Source organism: Homo sapiens, chromosome 7 (genome assembly GCF_000001405.40).
Source record: "Homo sapiens chromosome 7, GRCh38.p14 Primary Assembly".
In the NCBI taxonomy this organism is placed as follows: Eukaryota; Metazoa; Chordata; class Mammalia; order Primates; family Hominidae; genus Homo; species Homo sapiens.
Window position 1 is genome coordinate 38,337,547 of NC_000007.14, and position 20,202 is coordinate 38,357,748.

The 20,202-nt window shown below is 41.2% G+C and overlaps 1 long non-coding RNA gene, 2 pseudogenes, 2 gene segments (V, D, J or C) and 1 further gene, besides 9 other annotated features; 1 reads left to right on the top strand and 5 right to left on the bottom strand.

The window, feature by feature from the left end:
* The window catches only part of TRG (T cell receptor gamma locus), a 128,032-nt gene that overhangs the window by 97,523 nt on the left and 10,307 nt on the right, over nt 1–20,202 (bottom strand).
* On the bottom strand, nt 3,154–3,625 carry TRGV6 (T cell receptor gamma variable 6 (pseudogene); annotated as a pseudogene). The gene is given in 2 exon segments: nt 3,154–3,463; nt 3,583–3,625. Coding segments are annotated over 2 exon segments (353 nt in total).
* Nucleotides 3,453–3,463: a sequence feature (TRGV6 leader sequence).
* Nucleotides 3,583–3,625: a sequence feature (TRGV6 leader sequence).
* The window catches only part of TRG-AS1 (T cell receptor gamma locus antisense RNA 1), a 37,220-nt gene continuing 20,892 nt past the window's right edge, over nt 3,875–20,202 (top strand). Inside the window, exons 1-3 of the long non-coding RNA NR_040085.2 lie at nt 3,875–4,253; nt 8,475–8,581; nt 12,800–12,904. This is a non-coding gene — a long non-coding RNA (T cell receptor gamma locus antisense RNA 1). The remainder of the gene's footprint in view (nt 4,254–8,474; nt 8,582–12,799; nt 12,905–20,202) is intronic.
* TRGV5P (T cell receptor gamma variable 5P (pseudogene)) lies at nt 7,484–7,953 on the bottom strand (annotated as a pseudogene). The gene is given in 2 exon segments: nt 7,484–7,796; nt 7,911–7,953. Coding segments are annotated over 2 exon segments (356 nt in total).
* Nucleotides 7,784–7,796: a sequence feature (TRGV5P leader sequence).
* Nucleotides 7,911–7,953: a sequence feature (TRGV5P leader sequence).
* Nucleotides 11,806–11,855: an enhancer, noted in NCBI's record as "active region_25867". NCBI's record gives its function as "activates an Ori minimal core promoter by ATAC-STARR-seq in GM12878 lymphoblastoid cells {active_cell/tissue: GM12878}" and the evidence as "EXISTENCE:reporter gene assay evidence [ECO:0000049][PMID:35858748]".
* Nucleotides 11,809–12,278, bottom strand: TRGV5 (T cell receptor gamma variable 5). The segment is given in 2 exon segments: nt 11,809–12,119; nt 12,236–12,278. Coding segments are annotated over 2 exon segments (354 nt in total), but the record flags the coding sequence as incomplete, so codon positions are not given.
* Nucleotides 12,109–12,119: a sequence feature (TRGV5 leader sequence).
* Nucleotides 12,236–12,278: a sequence feature (TRGV5 leader sequence).
* On the bottom strand, nt 16,169–16,637 carry TRGV4 (T cell receptor gamma variable 4). The segment is given in 2 exon segments: nt 16,169–16,479; nt 16,595–16,637. Coding segments are annotated over 2 exon segments (354 nt in total), but the record flags the coding sequence as incomplete, so codon positions are not given.
* Nucleotides 16,469–16,479: a sequence feature (TRGV4 leader sequence).
* Nucleotides 16,595–16,637: a sequence feature (TRGV4 leader sequence).

A 20,202-nucleotide genomic window follows, 5' to 3' on the forward strand; every position in this document is an offset into this window, starting at 1 on the left:
ATAAGATGTAGAACAACATCCCTCTTGGTTGTGGTATTGGCTTAGCTCAGAGAATTCAGTTTCTGCTGTCATCACAGCTGGGAATGAGAAAGGGAGGGGCTCTGGTTGGTCTCCCTCTGCCTCTGGAGCACACGTGGAGGACATGAGGCTGCCGCAGGAGCAGCTCTGAAAGCTGAGTTCTTGGGGTCACTGTGAAGGAGGGAAGCTCAGGTGCCTTGAAGCCTGGAAAATCCTTGCTGGGACCGATGTCTCACGGTTTAAAAATTAGAAGGGAGAGATTTGCCATTACATTGCAATGCATAGAACACCCTTAAAACAAAAAAGCAATAAAGGAAAGTAACTCCACTGTAATGTCAAAAGAACTATACAGCTACAGTGCTGAAGAGACGGCAATACTGGCACTAGAATGAAAAGATTCATGGAACACACTGGAAAGTCCAGAAAGAGAGCCATGTGTATGTAATATTTTATCACATGATAAAGTTGTACGTTAATATCCTTGAGAAACTACTGGATTATGTAATAAGTTCTCTTTTGGGAATTGACTTACCATATGGAAACAATTTTTTTTTTTTTTTTTTTTTGAGACAGAGTCTCTCTCTGTCCCCCAGGCTGGAGTGCGGTGGCACAATCTCGGCTCACTGCAAGCTCCGCCTCCTGGGTTCACGCCATTCTCCTGCCTCAGCCTTCTCAGTAGCTGGGACTACAGGCACCTGCCAACATGCCCAGCTAATTTTTTATATTTTTAGTAGAGATGGGGTTTCACCGTGTTACCCCGGATAGTCTGGATCTCCTGATCTCGTGATTCACCCACCTCAGCCTCCCAAAGTGCTGGGATTACAGGCGTGAGCCACTGCACCCGGCCAGAAACAAATCTTCTTAAGTTACTATGTTGCCAGCTACAAATGGAGATTTTCTTGTAATAAAACTGAAAACAGAAAATCATTAGACTTTAACCATGATGAATTGCACACATATTGTAAGTGAGATTTGCCTCTCTGATCCTAACATCAAAATAGACCCCTTAGAAAAATTGATAGGTTTTATTAAAAGTAGTACACAAAGTTCAGTTCACCAAAAGGTGCTGAAAATAATAGCAAACCACGAGAAATATTTTCAATACATTTGATAAAGGATCAATATCTCTAAAATGAGGTGTATTAATTCTTACAAACCAATAAGAAAAAAATGATAACCAACAGAAGAATAGGCGAAGAGTATGAAATGGCAGTTGACAAAAGAAGAAGTATAAATGGCCTACAAAGTTGTTAAGTAATGCTAGCATTCACACAGGTAAGAAAATGCAAATTGAATTAACAAATCTCATTTTCTGAACCCCAGCGCTTGGATTGAAATTGCTATCGAATAAAGTATATGACTTAGGGAATGTTAGTTAAGCCCTTTATTTCTCATCTGGTGTATTCAATGGTACTTTAACCCCTCAATGGGGTTTCTGTGAAGATTAAATAAAACTTACATGCAATGTGATTAGTACAGTAACTACCAGAATGTCAGTACCCGTGTTTATCATTAGCATATTATTATTACTACGGTAATTATTGTATTAAAATTCCCAATAGATCAGAGATGCCATCATTAAATAGTCTATGAATAAAAGCATTCAAATAAATGATATGGACTTCTTTATTCATACTTATGAAGTGTATGCACTTTTAGAGGCAAGACACAAAATCTAGACACTGGAAGATAAAAGATTGATTAAAATGTATAAAACCTTATCAGAATGAAAATATAAATATGACGGTCAAATAGAAACAATATATACTGCACTATGACAAACAAAAGACTTTTCTGTAATACTGAAAGACTTGTTCTGAATAAGAAAAAGTGAAAAAGTTCAACTGAACTGATAAAAATATTGTTACCTATAGGGTCAGGGAGAGAAGAGGAAAGAGAAATCCAGAATGGGGCCTGGTGAGGTTGCTCATGCCTGTAATCCCAGCACTTAGGGAGGCCGAGGCAGGGGGATCATCTGAGGTCAGGAGTTCGAGACCAGCCAGGCCAACATGAGGAAACCCTGTCTCTACCAAAAATACAAAAATTAGCTGGATGTGCTGGCGGGCACCTGAAATCCCAGCTACTTGGGAGGCTGAGGTAGGAGAATCTCTTGAACCCAGGAGGCGGAGGTTGCAGTGAGCCGAGATTGCTCCACTGCACTCCAGCCTGAGTGACAGACTGAGAATCCGTCTCAAAAAAAAAAAAAAAAAAAAAAGAGAGAGAAAAAGAAATCTAGAATGTAAGTTAAAATCTCCAAATGCATCTTCGTTAAAATTATGACTTTAGTTCCATGTAAATAGTTTACATATGCAAAACAAATATGAAACAAAACAAAATAATACAACAAATGTCTAAAATTTTAAAATGAAAACTGAACAAATAAACTAGCTATATCAATGTTGGCATGAACATGTAAAGAAAAATTATTTCAAATGATTTTGTTGAAAAAATATTCGGATTATGTACCCAAAAAGGAAAGAAAGAGAGAGAAAAGCAAGGAAGGAAGAAATGAAAAAAGGAAGGAAGGAAGGGAGGGAGAGAGGGAGGGAGGGAGGGAGGGAAGAAAAAATAATAAAAGCAAGCAAGGAAGTAAGAAAGGAGAGAGAATAAAAGGGAGGGCAGAGGGAGAGAGTGTTTAACTGCATATCTAGGCCTAGTGTTTTAGTGGTATTTATAATATTGCCTATATTGTTATAGACATAAGGAGTAAGCAGCACTCTCAGCTGCGATCTCTGGACCATGATTGGATACATGATTCAGTATAAATACCCTTCCCATTTGCTGTCCAAAATATCTCGCTTCACAGCTGGACCCTAAGAAACAGAGTGAGTGGGCCTCCCCCATGTCCTAGGAGAGCTGAGAAAACCTTGCTCTCAGCCAGGCTGCTTAGCTGAGGCTTAGCTGAGATGGCAGCTTAGTCTTCAGGAAAGTCCTGGGGGAGGGTGGGGAACAGGGTACAGCTGCTGACAGGAGAGTGTAATATTAGGGGGGAGATCAGGAGTTAAGCTGTTTCTCTTTGTACAGAATACAGTAAATTCAGGGCAGGAAATGAGAGGGGACGGCTCTCTCTTGTGTACCAGAAGCAGCCACAAGACAGATATTCAGTGTGGTGTAGAGCAGGTCTGAATCACTCTGCCTGTCCTAGGTGGCACAGTAATAGACCCCAGAGGCATTTTCATTTAGTTTTGGAGGTATAAATTTCCAGCTTATCCTTCTACTTCCATAAGTATCATGCTTTCCTGACTGACTCCTGATTCCAACATATCCCTGGAGTTGCAGATGTCATAGTACAGAAGATGCTGTGGGGCCTTCCCCTCCTGGCGTAGGTACCAGTGGATGTAGAAGGCATTTTCTACAGGAAGATCACAGGTGATTACAGCAGATGACCCCATCTGCCTGGTGCCTGACTTTATTTTCGCTTCCAAGTTAGTAGATATCTGACTGGCTGCAATGGGAACAACATAAAATATAATGAGGTATTCCTTAGTATGGCGTCCCTTGCTAAAGAAGAAAAATCCAAAACAAAACCCAACCTGTGAGCCTCTCTGTAGGCAGCACACTTACCAAGAGACAGGAAAGCTAGAAGCAGGGCTAGGGCCCACCACATGCCTTCGTCTCTGGGGTCTTGAAAGAAAGGGCCCAGATGAACAGGAGCAGAAGATCCTCTCAAAACTCAGGTCCCACTCAACAAGGAAGTGATCCCTAGCACAGAAGGCAGTGGGGAAGGCTGGTCTTCCTGAGTCACAAGCAGGGAGAAGTGACTGAGGATGTGTCTTAGGGGACTCCCACGCCTTCCTTCCAGAAGGGTGGTGCCTGGGAGGACCTGCAGAGGAGCTCCTGCCTCTCTGCTCAGGCCAGTTCTGCAGCACCCTCTGTGGCAGCTGAGAGCAGGCCCTCTGCAGAAGAGAGCCAGGGGCATGGAGAGTTCAGGCCTCCAGCAGAGGGAGTGCAGATATGGGGAAAGCTGACCCCTGGAGTCAGCAGGCCCAGCCCTAGGAGGGGGCAGTCCCACAGCAGGCTCACACCCTGCCCTTCAGAGTTGCAGCAGCTAATGCTGATGCCAGGACCTTGTCCTGCCAGGAAGCCTCTGATTAGGGCTGTGAACCAACTTCCTTTTCACATCTGCAAGGACACTTGGAGGCAACTGCCCAAGGCCACTCTGAGGAGGGTTGAATGTTCTTTATTAAAAGGACTGAGGATCATGTGTGTTGGTGGGCCTTGGACTCTGCTCTAAGGTAAATGTGTGTGTGTGTGGCGGGGGGCGGGGGGGGGGGTGCCTGTAATCCTGTGGGTGTGATCTCTTTATTAGACAATTTTTGTTCATTAAAGTAGGAGTGTAAGTTTGTTTGTTTGCTTGTTTGTTTTTAAAGTAGTACTGGGTGCCATGTCATGAAATATTTGGAACATACTTGAACTAAAAACTTGTTATATATCTGAACTTCCAAATTCCCTGGGTATTGTATATTTTATTTGTCATCCCTACCCTCAGAAAGCAGACTAATATCTGCAGTGCACCTGGATTCACAGATGGAAATAAGGGGACAAAACAAGTACAGTAATATAATTGTGAAAATTCAGTAGGGCATGCACAGATTACCACCACCTCTGTAAGAAGTATATAGAGACACATGTTTGAAATATGCATAATGAGATGTAGAACAATGTCTCTCTTGGTTGTTGTGTTGTCCTAGCTCAAATTTTGCAGTTTCTGCTGTCATCACAGCTGGGAATGAGAAAGGGAAGGGGCTCCAGTTGGTCTCCCTCTGCCTCTGGAGCACACGTGGAGGACATGAGGCTTCCGCAGGAACAGCTCTGAAAGCTGAGTTCTCGGGTCCCTGTGAAGGAGGGAAGCTTGCCTGCCTTGGAGCGTGAAAAAGTCTTGCTGGACAGAAGTCTCACGGTTTAAAACTGGGAAGGGAGAGGATTGAGATCACACTAGAATGCACAGAAAATTCTTAAAACAAAAAAATGAGAGAAACTTCATCAGAATGTGAAAAGAACTATAAAGCTACAGTGCTGAAGAGAGGGCAATACTGGCACTAGAATGAGAAGATTCATGGAACACAGTGGAAAATGCAGTAAGAGAGCTGCATGTATGTAATATTTTATCATGTGATAAAGTGATATATTAATATTCACAAGGAAATAGTCAATTATTTAATAAGTTCTCTTTTTGGTATTGACTTACTGTATGGAAACAAATATTGTTGCATTTCTACCTTACTAGTTACAAATAGTGATTTAGTTGTAATAAAATGAAAATCATTAGACTTAAACGATGATGAATTGCATAGAAGTTCTAGGTGAGATTGGCCTTTCTAAGCCTGGCATCAAACTAGACACCCTAGAAAAATGGACAGATATTATTTTATTTTTCAAAGTTCAATTCACCATAGGTGCCAAATGTAAATAATAACACATGAGGAGTAATATCTTCAACACATTGGATAAAGGGTCAGTATCTCTAAAATAGTATATATTAATTCTTACGAACCAATAAGAAAAAATTAATCCTCCAAAAGGAGAATAGGCAAAGAGTATCACAAGGCGATTCTCAAAAGAAGAACTATAAATGACCTATAACGTTGTCAAATATTGCTAGTACTCCTAAAGATGGGGGAATGCAAATCAAATTAACAAATCTCATTTTCAGAACCACAGAGCTTGGATTGCCATCATTATTAAATTAAAGTATATGACTTAGGGAATGTTAATTAACCCCCCAATTTCTTATGTTACATTCAACGGTACTTTAAACCCTTAATGAAGTTTCTGTGTAGATTAAATAAAATGTGCATGCAATGTGCTTAGTACATTAACTACCAGAATGTCAGCACCCATATGTACCATCAATATTATTATTATCATTATTCATTTTTTTGAGACAGAGTCTCACTCTATTGCCCAAACTGGACTGTAGTAGTGTGATATTAGCTCACTGAAACCTTCACCTTCCTGGCTCTAGAAATTCTCCTGCCTCAGCATCCAAAGTAGCTGGGATTACATGTGTGCGCCACAACAGCCGGCTAATTTTTTGTATATTTAGTAGAGACAGGGTTTCACCATGTTGGCTGAGCGGGTCCAAATCTCCCGGCCTAAGTGATCCTAATGACTGGACTGGCCAAATGCTGGGATTACATGCATGAGCCACCGGGCGTGGCCAGTATTATTGTTATTAATACAGTAATTATTGTATAAAAATTCCTGATGGATCAATGATGCCATCATTAAATAATCAACACATAAAAACATTCAAATAAATGATATGGACGTCTTTATGCATACTTATGAAGTATGTGCACCTTTAGAAGTAAGACACACAATCCAGACACAGGAAAATATAAGATTTATTAAAATGTATAAAAACCAAATATCAGAATGAAAATATAAATATGGCATTGAAATAGAAACAATACATACTCTGCTATGACAAACAGAGTGAAACAGCTCAAGTGAACTGACAAAAATATTGTTACCTGTAGTGTCAGGGAGAAAAGAGGAACAAGAAATCTACAATGGAAGCTAAAATCTTCAAATGCATCACCTTTTATGATTTTGACTTCAGTTCCATGTAAATATTTTATATATACAAAACAGATTTGAAACAAAACAAAGTAATACAACAAATTTCCAAAATGTAAAAATGAAAACTGAACAGTTAAACTAGCTGTATAAATGTTGGCATGAACAAATAGAGAAAAATTATTTCAAATGATTTTGTGGAAAAAGTATTCTCATTATGTACCCAAAAAGGAAAGAAAGAGAGAGAAAAACAAGGAAGGAAGGAGGAAAACAAGGAAGGAGAATGGATGGAAGGAAACAAGGGAGGAAGGGAGGAAAGGATGGATGGAGGGAGGGAGTTAGGGAGGGAGAGAAAAATAAAAACAAGCAAAGAAGTAAGAAAAAAGAGAGAGAGAATAAAAGGGAGGGCAGAGGGAGAGAATGTTCAACTGCATACCTAGGCCTAGTGTTTTAGTGGTCATTATACTATTGCTTATATTGTTATAGACATAAGGAATAAGCACCACTCTCAGCTGTGATCTCTGGACCATGACTGGATAAATGATTCAGTATAAATAACCTTCCTATTTGCTGTCCAAAATATCTAGATTCGCAGCTGGACCCTAGTTGTACCTGTCTGTCATAGGAAGCAGAGTGAGTGGGCCTCCCCCATGTCCTAGGAGAGCTGAGAGAACCTTACTCTCAGCCAGGCTGCTTAACTGAGGCCCGGAGATGGCAGCTTGATCTTCAGGAAAGTTGTGGGGGAGGGGTAGGGAACAGGGTGCAGCTGCTGCCAGGACAGTGTGATATTAGGAGGGAGATCAGGAGTTAAGCTGTCTTTCTCTTGTTCAGAATACAGTAAATTTGGTGGCAGGAAATGAGAGGGGGCGGCTCTATCTTGTGTACCAGAGGCAGCCACAAGGCAGATGTTCAGTGTGGTGTAGGGCAGATCTGAATCACTGTGCCTGCCCCAGGTGGCACAGTAATAGACCCCAGAATCATTTTCAATTAGATTTTGCAGTCTCAAATTCCAGCTCCACCTCCTCGGTGTATGAGTATAATACTTTCCAAGACTGAGACCTGATTCCAACACATCCCTTGAGTTGGAGACATCATAGTGCAGAAGATGCTGTGGGGTCTTCCCCTCCTGCTGTAGGTACCAGTGGATGTAGACGGCATTTATTACAGTAAGGTCACAAGTGATTTCAGCAGATGACCCAGTCGGCCTGGTGACTGACTTCATTCTCCCTTCCAAGTTGGAAGATTTCTGACTGGCTGCAATGGGAAAAACATAAAATATAATGAGGTATTCCTTTGTATGGCACCCCTTTCAAAAGAAGAAAACAAAACAAAACCCAACCTGTGAGCCTCTCTGTAGGCAGCACACTCACCAGGATACAGGAAAGCTAGAAGCACCGCTAGGGCTCACCGCATGCCTTCCTTTCTGGGGCCTTGGAAGGAAAGGGACCAGATGAAAAGGAGTAGAAGATCCTCTCAAAACTCAGGTCCCACTCAACAAGGAAGTGATCCCTAGCACAGAAGACAGTAGGAGGAGCTGGTATTCCTGAGACACAGGCAGAGAGAAGTGACTGAGGATGTGTCTTAGGGGACTCCCAAGCCTTCCTCCCAGAAGGGGTGGTTCCTGGGAGGACCTGCAGAGGAGCTCCTGTGTCTCCTCAGGCCCTTTCTTCGGCGCCCTCTTGTGGCAGCTGAGAGCAGGCCCAGGGCAGAAGGGAGGCAGGGGCATTGAGAGTTCAGGCCTCCAGCAGAGGGACTGCAGATTTAGGGGAAGCTGACCCTGGAATTAACAGGCTCAGACCTTGGAGGGGGCAGTCCCACAACAGGCTCCTACCCTGCCCTTCAGAGTTGCAGCAGCTAATGCTGATGCCAGGACCTTGTCCTGACAGGAAGCCTCTGATTAGGGCCCTGAACCAAGTTCCTTTTCGCATCTGCAGACACATGGAGGCAACCACTCAAGGCCACTCTGAGAAGGGTTGAACGTGCTTTAAATTAAAAGGACTGAGGATCATGTGTGTTGGTGTGTCTTGGACTCTGCTCTAAGGTAAATGTGTGTGTGTGTTGGGGGGGGTGAGTTGTGCCTGTAATCCTGTGTGTGTGACCTCCTTATTAGAGGATTTTTGTTCATTAAGTAGGAATGTGAGTTTGTTTGTTTGCTTGTTTGTTTTTAAAGTAGTACTGGGTGCCATGTCATGCAACATTTGGAACATACTTAAACTAAAAACTTGTTATTTATCTGAACTTCCAATTCTCTGCGTATTGTATATTTTATTTGTCATCCCTACCCTCAGAAAGCAGACTAATATCTGCAGTGCACCTGGATTCACAGATGAAAATAAGGGGACAAATCAAGTACAGTAATATTATTGTGAAAATTCAGTAAGGCATTCACAGATTATCACCACCTCTGTAAGAAGTATATAGAGACACATGTTTGAAATATGCATAATGAGATGGAGAACAGTGTCCCTCTCAGTTGTTGTGTTGGGCTAGCTCAGAGAATTCAGTTTCTGCTGTCATCACAGCTGGGAATGAGAAAGGGAGGGGGCTCTGGTTGGTCTCCCTCTGCCTCTGGAGCACACATGCAGGACAAGAGGCTGCTGTAGGAGCAGCTCTGAAAGCTGAGTTCTCGGGTCCTTGTGAAGGAGGGAAGCTTGCCTGCCTTGGAGCGTGAAAAAGTCTTGCTGGACAGAAGTCTCATGGTTTAAAAATGGGAAGGGAGAGGATTGAGATCACACTAGAATGCACAGAAAATTCTTAAAACAAAAAAATAATGAGAGAAATTTCATCAGAATGTGAAAAGAACTATAAAGCTACAGTGCTGAAGAGAGGGCAATACTGGCACTAGAATGAGAAGATTCATGGAACACAGTGGAAAATGCAGTAAGAGAGCTGCATGTATGTAATATTTTATCATGTGATAAAGTGATATATTAATATTCACAAGGAAATAGTCAATTATTTAATAAGTTCTCTTTTAGGTATTGACTTACCATATGGAAACAAATATTGTCGCATTTCTACCTTACCAGTTACAAATAGTGATTTAGTTGTAATAAAATGAAAATCAATAGACTTAAACGATGATGAATTGCATACAGATTCTGGGTGAGATTGGCCTTTCTAAGCTGACATCAAACTAGACTCCCTAGAAAAATTGATGGGTTTTATTGTTTTTTTTTCAAAGTTGAATTCACTAAAAGGTGCCAAATGTAAATAATAACAAATGAGGAGTAATATCTTCAACACATTGGATAAAGGGTCATCATCTCTAAAATAGTACATATTAATTCTTACGAACCAATAAGAAAAAATTAATCCTCCAAAGGGAGAATAGGCAAAGAGTACGACAAGGCAATTCTCAAAAGAAGAATTATAAATGACCTATAACGTTGTCAAATATTGCTAGTACTCCTAAAGATGGGGGAATGCAAATCGAATTAACAAATCTCATTTTTGGAACCACAGAGCTTGGATTGCTATCATAATCAAATTAAAATATATGGCTTAGGGAATGTTAATTAACCCCCCATTTTCTTATGTTTCATTCAACAGTACTTTAAACCCTTAATGAAGTTTCTGTGTAGATTAAATAAAATATGCATGTAATGTGCTTAGTACATTAACTACCAGAATGTCAGCACCCATATGTACCATCAATATTATTATTATCATTATTCATTTTTTTGAGAGAGAGTCTCACTCTATTGCCCAAACTGGACTGTAGTAGTGTGATCTTAGCTCACTGAAACCTTCACCTTCCAGGCTCTAGAGATTCTCCTGCCTCAGCATCCAAAGTAGCTGGGATTACATGTGTGCGCCACTACAGCCGGCTAATTTTTTGTATTTTTAGTAGAGACAGGGTTTCACCATGTTGGCTAAGCTGGTCGCAATCTCCTGGCCTAAGTGATCGTAATGACTGGACCACCCAAATGCTGGGATTACAGGCATGAGCCACCGGGCCTGGCCAGTATTATTATTACTAATACAGTAATTATTGTATAAAAATTCCTGATAGATCAATGATGCCATCATTAAATAATCAATGCATAAAGACATTCAAATAAATGATATGGACGTCTTTATGCATACTTATGAAGTATGTGCACCTTTAGAAGTAAGACACACAATCCAGACACGGGAAAATATAAGATTGATTAAAATGTATAAAAACCGAATATCAGAATGAAAATATAAATATGGCATTGAAATAGAAACAATACATACGGCACTATGACAAACAGTGAAAAAGCTCATGTGAACTGCCAAAAATATTGTTACCTATAGTGTCAGGGAGAAAAGAGGAACGAAAAATCTACAATGGAAGCTAAAATCTTCAAATGCATCATCTTTTATAATTTTGGCTTCAGTTTCATGTAAACGTTTTATATATACAAAACAGATATGAAGCAAAACAAAGTAATACAACACATTTCCAAAATGTAAAAATGAAAACTGAACAATTAAACTAGCTGTATAAATGTTGGCATGAACAAATAGAGAAAAATTATATCAAATGATTTTGTGGAAAAAGTATTCTGATTATGTACCCAAAAAGGAAAGAAAGAGAGAGAAAAGCAAGGAAGGAAGGAAGGAAAACAAGGAAGGAGAATGGATGGAAGGAAACAAGGGAGGAAGGGAGGAAAGGATGGATGGAGGGAGGGAGTTAGGGAGGGAGAGAAAAATAAAAACAAGCAAAGAAGTAAGAAAAAAGAGAGAGAGAATAAAAGGGAGGGCAGAGGGAGACCATGTTCAACTGCATACCTGGGCCTAGTGTTTTAGTGGTCATTATAGTATTGCTTATGTTGTTATAGACATAAGGAATAAGCACCACTCTCAGCTGTGATCTCTGGACCATGACTGGATACATGATTCAGTATAAATACCCTTCCCATTTGCTGTCCAAAATATCTCGCTTCACAGCTGGACCCTAGTTGTACCTGTGTGTCATAGGAAGCAGAGTGAGTGGGCCTCCCCCATGTCCTAGGAGAGCTGAGAGAACCTTGCTCTCAGCCAGGCTGCTTAGCTGAGGCCTGGAGATGGCAGCTTGATCTTCAGGAAAGTTGTGGGGGAGGGGTGGGGAACAGGGTGCGGCTGCTGCCAGGACAGTGTGATATTAGGAGGGAGATCAGGAGTTAAGCTGTCTTTCTCTTGTTCAGAATACAGTAAATTTGGTGACAGGAAATGAGAGGGGGCGGCTCTATCCTGTGAACCAGAGGCAGCCACAAGGCAGATTTTCAGTGTGGTGTAGGACAGGTCTGAATCACTGTGCCTGTCCCAGGTGGCACAGTAATAGACCCCAGAATCATTTTCAATTAGATTTCGTAGTATCAATATCCAGCTCCACCTCCTGGGTGTATGAGTATAATACTTTCCTGGACTGAGTCCTGATTCCAACACATCCTTTGAGTTGGAGACGTCATAGTACAGAAGACGCTGTGGGGCCTTCCCCTCCTGGTGTAGGTACCAGTGGATGTAGAAGGCATTTATTACAGTAAGGTCACAAGTGATTTCAGCAGATGACCTAGTCGGCCTCGTGACTGACTTCGTTCCCCCTTCCAAGTTGGAAGATTTCTGACTGGCTGCAATGGGAACAACACAAAATTTAATGAGGTATTCCTTTGTATGGCACCCCTTTCAAAAGAAGTAAACAAAACAAAACCCAACCTGTGAGCCTCTCTGTAGGCAGCGTACTCACCAGGAGACAGGAAAGCTAGAAGCACCAGTAGGGCCCACCGCATGCCTTCCTCTCGGGGGCCTTGGAAGGAAAGGGACCAGATGAGGAGGAGCAGAAGATCCTCTTAAAACTCCGGCCCCACTCAACAAGGAAGTGATCCCTAGCACAGAAGACAGTAGGAGGAGCTGGTCTTCCTGAGTCACAGGCAGAGAGAAGTGACTGAAGATGTGTCTTAGGGGACTCCCAAGCCTTCCTCCCAGAAGGGGTGGTGCCTGGGAGGACCTGCAGAGGAGCTCCCGCATCTCCTCAGGCCCTTTCTTCTGCGCCATCTTGTGGCAGTTGAGAGCAGGCCCAGGGCAGAAGGGAGGCAGGGGCATTAAGAGCTCAGGCCTCCAGCTGAGGGACTGCAGATGTTGGGTAAGCTGACCCTGGAATTAACAGGCTCACACCTTGGAGGGGGCAGTCCCATAGCAGGCTCCCACCCTGCCCTTCAGAGTTGCAGCAGGTAATGCTGATGCCAGAACCTTGTCCTGACAGGAAGCCTCTGATTAGGGCCCTGAACCAAGTTCCTTTTCGCATCTGCAGACTCATGGAGGCAACCACTCAAGGTCACTCTGAGAAGGGTTGAACGTGCTTTATTAAAAGGACTGAGGATCATGTGTGTTGGTGTGTCCCGGAGTCTGCTCTAAGGTAAATATGTGTGTGTGTGTGTTGGGGGGGCAGGGGTTGTGCCTGTAATCCTGTGTGTGTGACCTCCTTATTAGAGGATTTTTGTTCATTAAAGTAGGAGTGTGAATTTGTTTGTTTGCTTGTTTGTTTTTAAAGTAGTACTGGGTGCCATGTCATGCAATATTTGGAACATACTTAAACTAAAAACTTGTTATTTTTCTGTACTTCCAATTCCCCCGGTATTGTATATTTTATTTGTCATCCCTACCCTCAGAAAGCAGACTAATATCTGCAGTGCACCTGGATTCACAGTTGGAAATATAGGGGACAAAAAAAGTATAGTAATATTATTGTGAAAATTCAGTAAGGCATAGGCAGATTATCACCACCTCTGTAAGAATATATAGAGACACATGTTTGAAAGATGCATAATGAGATGTAGAACAGTGTCTCTCTCAGTTGTTGTGTTGTCCTAGCTCAGAGAATTCAGTTTCTGCTGTCATCACAGCTGGGAATGAGAAAGGGAGGGGGCTCCGGTTGGTCTCCCTCTGCCTCTGGAGCACACGTGCAGGACATGAGGCTGCTGTAGGAGCAGCTCTGAAAGCTGAGTTCTCGGGGTCCTTGTGAAGGAGGAAAGCTTCCATGCCTTGGAGCATGAAAAAGTCTTGCTGGACAGAAGTCTCATGGTTTAAAAATGGGAAGGGAGAGGATTGAGATCACACTAGAATGCACAGAAAATTCTTAAAACAAAAAAATAATGAGAGAAATTTCATCAGAATGTGAAAAGAACTATAAAGCTACAGTGCTGAAGAGAGGGCAATACTGGCACTAGAATGAGAAGATTCATGGAACACAGTAGAAAATCCAGAAAGAAAGCCGCATGCATGTAATATTTTATCATGTGATAAAGTGATATGTTAATATCCACAAGGAAATAGTCAATTATTTTATAAGTTCTCTTTTGGGTATTGACTTACCATATGGAAACAAATATTATTGCATTTCGTTCTTACCAGATATAGATAGTGATTTAGTTGTAATAAAAACAAAATCATTACACTTAAACAATGATGAATTGCATAGAAATTCTAGGTGAGATTGGCCTTTCTAAGCTTGACATCAAACTAGACACCCTAGAAAAATTGATAGATTTTAATGCTTTTTTTTTCAAAGTTCAATTCACCAAAAGGTGCCAAATGTAAATAATAACAAATGAGGGGAAATATCTTCAACACATTCGATAAAGGGTCAGTATCTTTAAAATAGTGTATCTTAACTCTTACGAAATAATAAGAAAAAATTAATCCTCCAAGAGAGGAATAGGCAAAGAGTATGACATGGCAATTCACAAAAGAAGAACTATAAATAACCTATAAAGTTGTGAAATAATACTAGTACTCCCAAAGATGGGGGAATGCAAACTGAATTTACAAATCTCATTTTCGGAACCACAGAGCTTGGATTGCAATCATTATCAAATTAAAGCATATGACTTAGGGAATGTTAATTAACCGCCCAATTTCTAATGTTACATTCAACAGTACTTTAAACCTTAATGAAGTTTCTGTGTAGATTAAATAAAATATGCATGTAATGTGCTTAGTACATTAACTACCAGAATGTCAGTACCCATATGTACCATCAATATTATTATTATCGTTATTCATTTTTTTGAGACAGAGTCTCACTCTGTTGCCCAAACTGGACTGCAGTAGTGTGATATTAGCTCACTGAAAACTCCACCTACCAGGCTCTACAGATTCTCCTGCTTCAGCATCCAAGTAGCTGGGATTACATGTGTGTGCCACTACAGCCAGCTAATTTTTTGTATTTTTACTAGAGACAGGGTTTCACCACGTTGGCTGAGCTGGTCACAATCTCCCGGCCTAAGTGATCCTAACGACTGGACTGCCCAAATGCTGGGATTACAGGCATGAGCCACCGGGCCTGGCCAGTATTATTATTACTAATACAGTAATTATTGTATAAAAATTCCTGATAGATCAGTGATGCCATCATTAAATAATCAATGCATAAAAACATTCAAATAAATGATATGGACATCTTTATGCATGCTTATGAAGTATGTGCACCTTTAGAAGTAAGACACACAGTCCAGACACAGGAAAATATAAGATTGATTAAAATATATAGAAACTGAATATCAGAAAGAAAATATAAATATGGCATTCAAATAGAAAGAATACATACTCCGCTATGAAAAACAGAGTGAAACAGCTCAAGTGAACTGCCAAAAATATTGTTACCTATAGTGTCAGGGAGAAAAGAAGAATGAGAAGTCTACAATGGAAGCTAAAATCTTCAAATGCATCATCTTTTATGATTTTGACTTCACTTCCATGTAAATGTTTTATATATGCAAAACAGATATGAAACAAAACAAAGTAATACAACAAATTTCCAAAATGTAAAAAAGAAAACTGAACAATTAAAGTAGCTATATCAATGTTGACATGAACACATAGAGAAAAATTATTTCAAATGATTTTGTGGAAAAAGTATTCTGATTATGTACCCAAAAAGGAAAGCAAGAGAAAAGCAAAGAAGGAAGGAAGGAAAACGAAGGAGAATGGATGGAAGGAAAGAAGAGAGGAAGGGAGGGAAGGAGGGAGGGAGAGAGGGAGGGAAGGAGGGAGGGAAGGACGGAGGGAAGGAGGAAGGGAGAGAGAGAAAAATAATAAAAGCAAGCAAAGAATTAAAAAAAGAGAGAGAGAATAAAAGGGAGGGCAGAGGGAGAGAATGTTCAACTGCATACCTAGGCCTGGTGTTTCAGTGGTCATTATAGTATTGCTTACATTGTTATAGATATAAGGAATAAGCACCAGTCTCAGCTGCGATTTCTGGATCATGATGGGATACACAATTTAGTATAAATACCCTTCTCATTTGTTGTCCAAAATATCTTGCTTCACAGCTGGACCCTAGAGGTACCCATTTGTCCTAGGAAGCAGAGTGAGTGGGCTTCCGCCATGTCCTAGGAGAGCTAAGAGAACCTTGCTCTCAGCCAGGCTGCTTCTCTGAGGTTTAGCTGAGATGGTGGCTTGGTCTTCAGGGAAGTCCTGGGGGAGGGTGGGGAACAGGGTGCAGCTGCTGCCAGGGGAGTGTGATATTGCAGGGGAGATCAGGAGTTAAGCAATGTTTCTCTTGTTCAGCACACGGTAAATTTGGTGGCAGGAAATGAGAGGGGGCGGCTCTATCTTGTGTACCAGAAGCAGCCACAAGGCAGGTTTTCAGTGTGGTGTAGGGCGGATCTGAATCACTGTGCCCATCCCAGGTGGCACAGTAATAGACTCCAGAGTCATTTTCAATAAGATTTCGCAGTATCATTCTCAAGTTCTTCCTTGTGCTTCCGTAAGTATCATACTTCCCTGGGCTGATTCCTGATTCCAACACAACGCTGGAGGTGTAGGAGTCATAGTACAGAAGACGCTGTGGGGCCTTCCCCTCCTGGTGTAGGTACCAGTGGATGTAGCCGGTACTTCCTTCAGCAAGATCACAAGTGATTTCAGCAGATGACCCAGTCTGCCTGATGACTGACTTCGTTCTCCCTTCCAAGTTGGAAGATTTCTGACTGGCTGCAATGGGAACAACACAAAATATAATGAGGAATTCCTTAGTATGGCAATCCTTGCAAAAGAAGAAAATAAAGAAAACAAAACCCATGATCCTCTCTGTAGGCAGCGCACTCACCAGGAGACAGGAAAGCTAGAAGCACCGCTAGGGCCCACTGCATGCCTTCCTCTCTGAGGCCTTGGAAGGAAAGGGACCAGATGAAGAGGAGCAGAAGATCCTCTTAAAACTCAGGCCCCACTCAACAAGGAAGTGATCCCTAGCACAGAAGACAGTAGGAGGAGCTGGTCTTCCTGAGACACAAGCAGAGAGAAGTGACTGAGGATCTGTCTAAGAGGACTCCCAAGCCTTCCTCCCTCCCAGAAGGATTGGTGCCTGGGAGGACCTGCAGAGGAGCTCCTGCCTCTCTTGCTCAGGTCCGTTCTCCGGCGCCCTCTTGTGGCAGCTGAGAGCAGGCCCTCTGCAGAAGAGAGCCAGGGGCCAGGAGAGCTCAGGCCTGCAGCAGAGGGAATGCAGATGTAGCGGAAGCTGACCCTGGAGTCAGCAGGCCCAGCCCTAGGAGGGGGCAGTCCCACAGCAGGCTCACACCCTGCCCTTCAGAGTTGCAGCAGCTAATGCTGATGCCAGGACCTTGTCCTGCCAGGAAGTCTCTGATTAGGGAACTGAACCACCTTCCTTTTGGCATCTGCAAGGACACTTGGAGGCACCACGCAAAGCGTGTGTTTATTGCGGCACTATTCACGATAGCAGAGACTTGGAACCAACCCAAATGTCCATCAGTGATAGACTGGATTAAGAAAATGTGACACATATACACCATGGAATACTATGCGGCCATAAAAAGGGATGCGTTCATGTCCTTTGTAAGGACATGGATGAAGCTGGAAACCATCATTCCGAGCAAACTATTCCAAGGACAGAAATCCAAACAGTGCATGTTCTCGCTCGTAGGTGGGAATTGAACAATGAGAACACTTGGACACAGAGTGGGGGAACATCACGCACTGGGGCCTGTAGTGGGGTGGGGGCAGGGGGGAGGGATAGCATTAGGAGATATACCTAATGTAGATGACAAGTTGATGGGTGCAACAAACCAACATGGCACATGTATACATATGTAACAAACCTGCACGTTGTGCAAATGTACCCTAGCACTTAAAGTATAATAAATATAAATAAATAAAGAAATAATAAAAATAAAAGAACTGAGGATCATGTGTGTTGGTTGGTCTTGGACTCTGCTCTAAGATAAAGGTGTGTGTGTTGGGTGTGTGTGTGTGTGTGTGTTTGTGTGTGTGTGATCCTGTGGTTGTGATCTCTTTATTAGAGGATTTTTGTTCATTGAAGTAGGAGTGTGAGTTTTTTTTGTTTTTTTTTTTCTAAGTAGTTCAGGGTGCCATGTCATGCAATATTTGGAACATACTTAAACTAAAAACTTGTTGTTTACCTGAACTTCCAAATTGTTTGGTATTGTATATTTTATTTGTCAGCCCTACCCTCAGAAAGGGGACTGAGATCTGCAGTACACCTGGATTCACAGATGGAAATATAGGGGACAAAGGAAGTACAGTAATATAATTGTGAAAATTCAGTAAGGCATACACAGATTATCACCACCTCTGTAAGAAGTATATAGAGACACATGTTTGAAAGATGCATAATGAGATGTAGAACAATATTCCTCTCAGTTGTGGTATTGGCCTAGCTCACAGAGTTCGGTTTCTGCTGTCTTCACAGCTGGGAATGACAGGTGGGAATGAGAAAGGGAGGGGGCTCCGGTTGGTCTCCCTCTGCCTCTGGAGCACACGTGCAGGACATGAGGCTTCCACAGGAACAGCTCTGAAAGCTGAGTTCTCGGGTCCTTGTGAAGGAGGGAAGCTTGCCTGCCTTGGAGCGTGAAAAAGTCTTGCTGGACAGAAGTCTCACGGTTTAAAAATGGGAAGGGAGAGGATTGAGATCACACTAGAATGCACAGAAAATTCTTAAAACAAAAAAATAATGAGAGAAACTTCATCAGAATGTGAAAAGAACTATAAAGCTACAGTGCTGAAGAGAGGGCAATACTGGCACTAGAATGACAAGATTCATGGAACACAGTGGAAAATCCAGAAAGAGAGCTGCATGTATGTAATATTTTATCATGTGATAAAGTGATATGTTAATACCCACAAGGAAATAGTCAGTTATTAAATAAGTTCTCTTTTTGGTATTGACTTACCACATGGAAACAAATATTGTTGCATTTCTACCTTACTAGTTACAAATAGTGATTTAGTTGTAATAAATAGAAAATCATTAGACTTAAACGATGATGAATTGCATAGAAATTCTAGGTGAGATTGGCCTTTCTAAGCCTGACATCAAACTAGACACCCTAGAAAAATTGATAGCTTTTATTGTTTTTTTTTCAAAGTTGAATTCACCAAAAGGTGCCAAATGTAAATAATAACAAATGAGGAGAAATATCTTCAACACATTGGATAAAGGGTCAGTATCTCTAAAATGGTGTATATTAATTCTTACGAACTAATAAGAAAAAACTAATCTTCCAAAAAAAGAATAGGAAAAGAGTATGACAAGGCAATTCTCAAAAGAAGAACTATAAATGACCTGTAAAGTTGTAAAATGATGCTAGTACTCCTAAAGATGGGGGAATGCAAACCAAATTAACAAATCTCATTTAGGAACCACAGAGCTTGCATTGCAATCATTATCAAGATAAAGTATATGACTTAGGGAATGTTAATTAACCCCCCAATTTCTAATGTTACATTCAACAGTACTTTAAAACCTTAATGAAGTTTCTGTGTAGATTAAATAAAATGTGCATGCAATGTGCTTAGTACGTTAACTACCAGAATGTCAGTACCCATATTTACCATCAATATTATTATTATTATTAGTCTTTTTGAGACAGAGTCTCGCTGTGTTGCCCAAACTGGACTGCAGTAGTGTGATCTTAGCTCACTGAAAACTCCAACTTCCAGGTTGAAGAGTTTCTCCTGCCTCAGCATCCAAAGTAGCTGGGATTACATGTGTGCGCCACTACAGCCGGCTAATTTTTTGTATTTTTAGTAGAGACAGGGTTTCACCATGTTGGCTAAGCTGGTCGCAATCTCCCGGCCTAAGTGTTCCTAACGACTGGACTGCCCAAATGCTGGGATTACAGGCATGAGCCACCGGGCCTGGCAAGTATTATTATTACTAATACAGTAATTATTGTATAAAAATTCCTGATAGATCGATGATGCCATCATTAAATAATCAACGCATAAAAACATTCAAATAAATGATATGGACTTCTTTATGCATACTTATGAAGTACGTGCACCTTTAGAAGTAAGACACACAGTCCAGACACGGGAAAATATAAGATTGATTAAAATGTATAAAAACCAAATATCAGAACGAAAATATAAATATGGCATTAAAATAGAAACAATACATACTCCGCTATGACAAACAGTGAAAAAGCTCAAGTGAACTGCCAAAAATATTGTTACCTATAGTGTCAGGGAGAAAAGAGGAACGAGAAATCTACAATGGAAGCTAAAATCTTCAAATGCATCATCTTTTATAATTTTGGCTTCAGTTTCATGTAAATGTTTTATATATACAAAACAGATATGAAGCAAAACAAAGTAATACAACAAAATTCCAAAATGTGAAAAAGAGAACTGAACAATTAAACTAGCTGTATGAATGTTGGCATGAACATATAGAGAAAA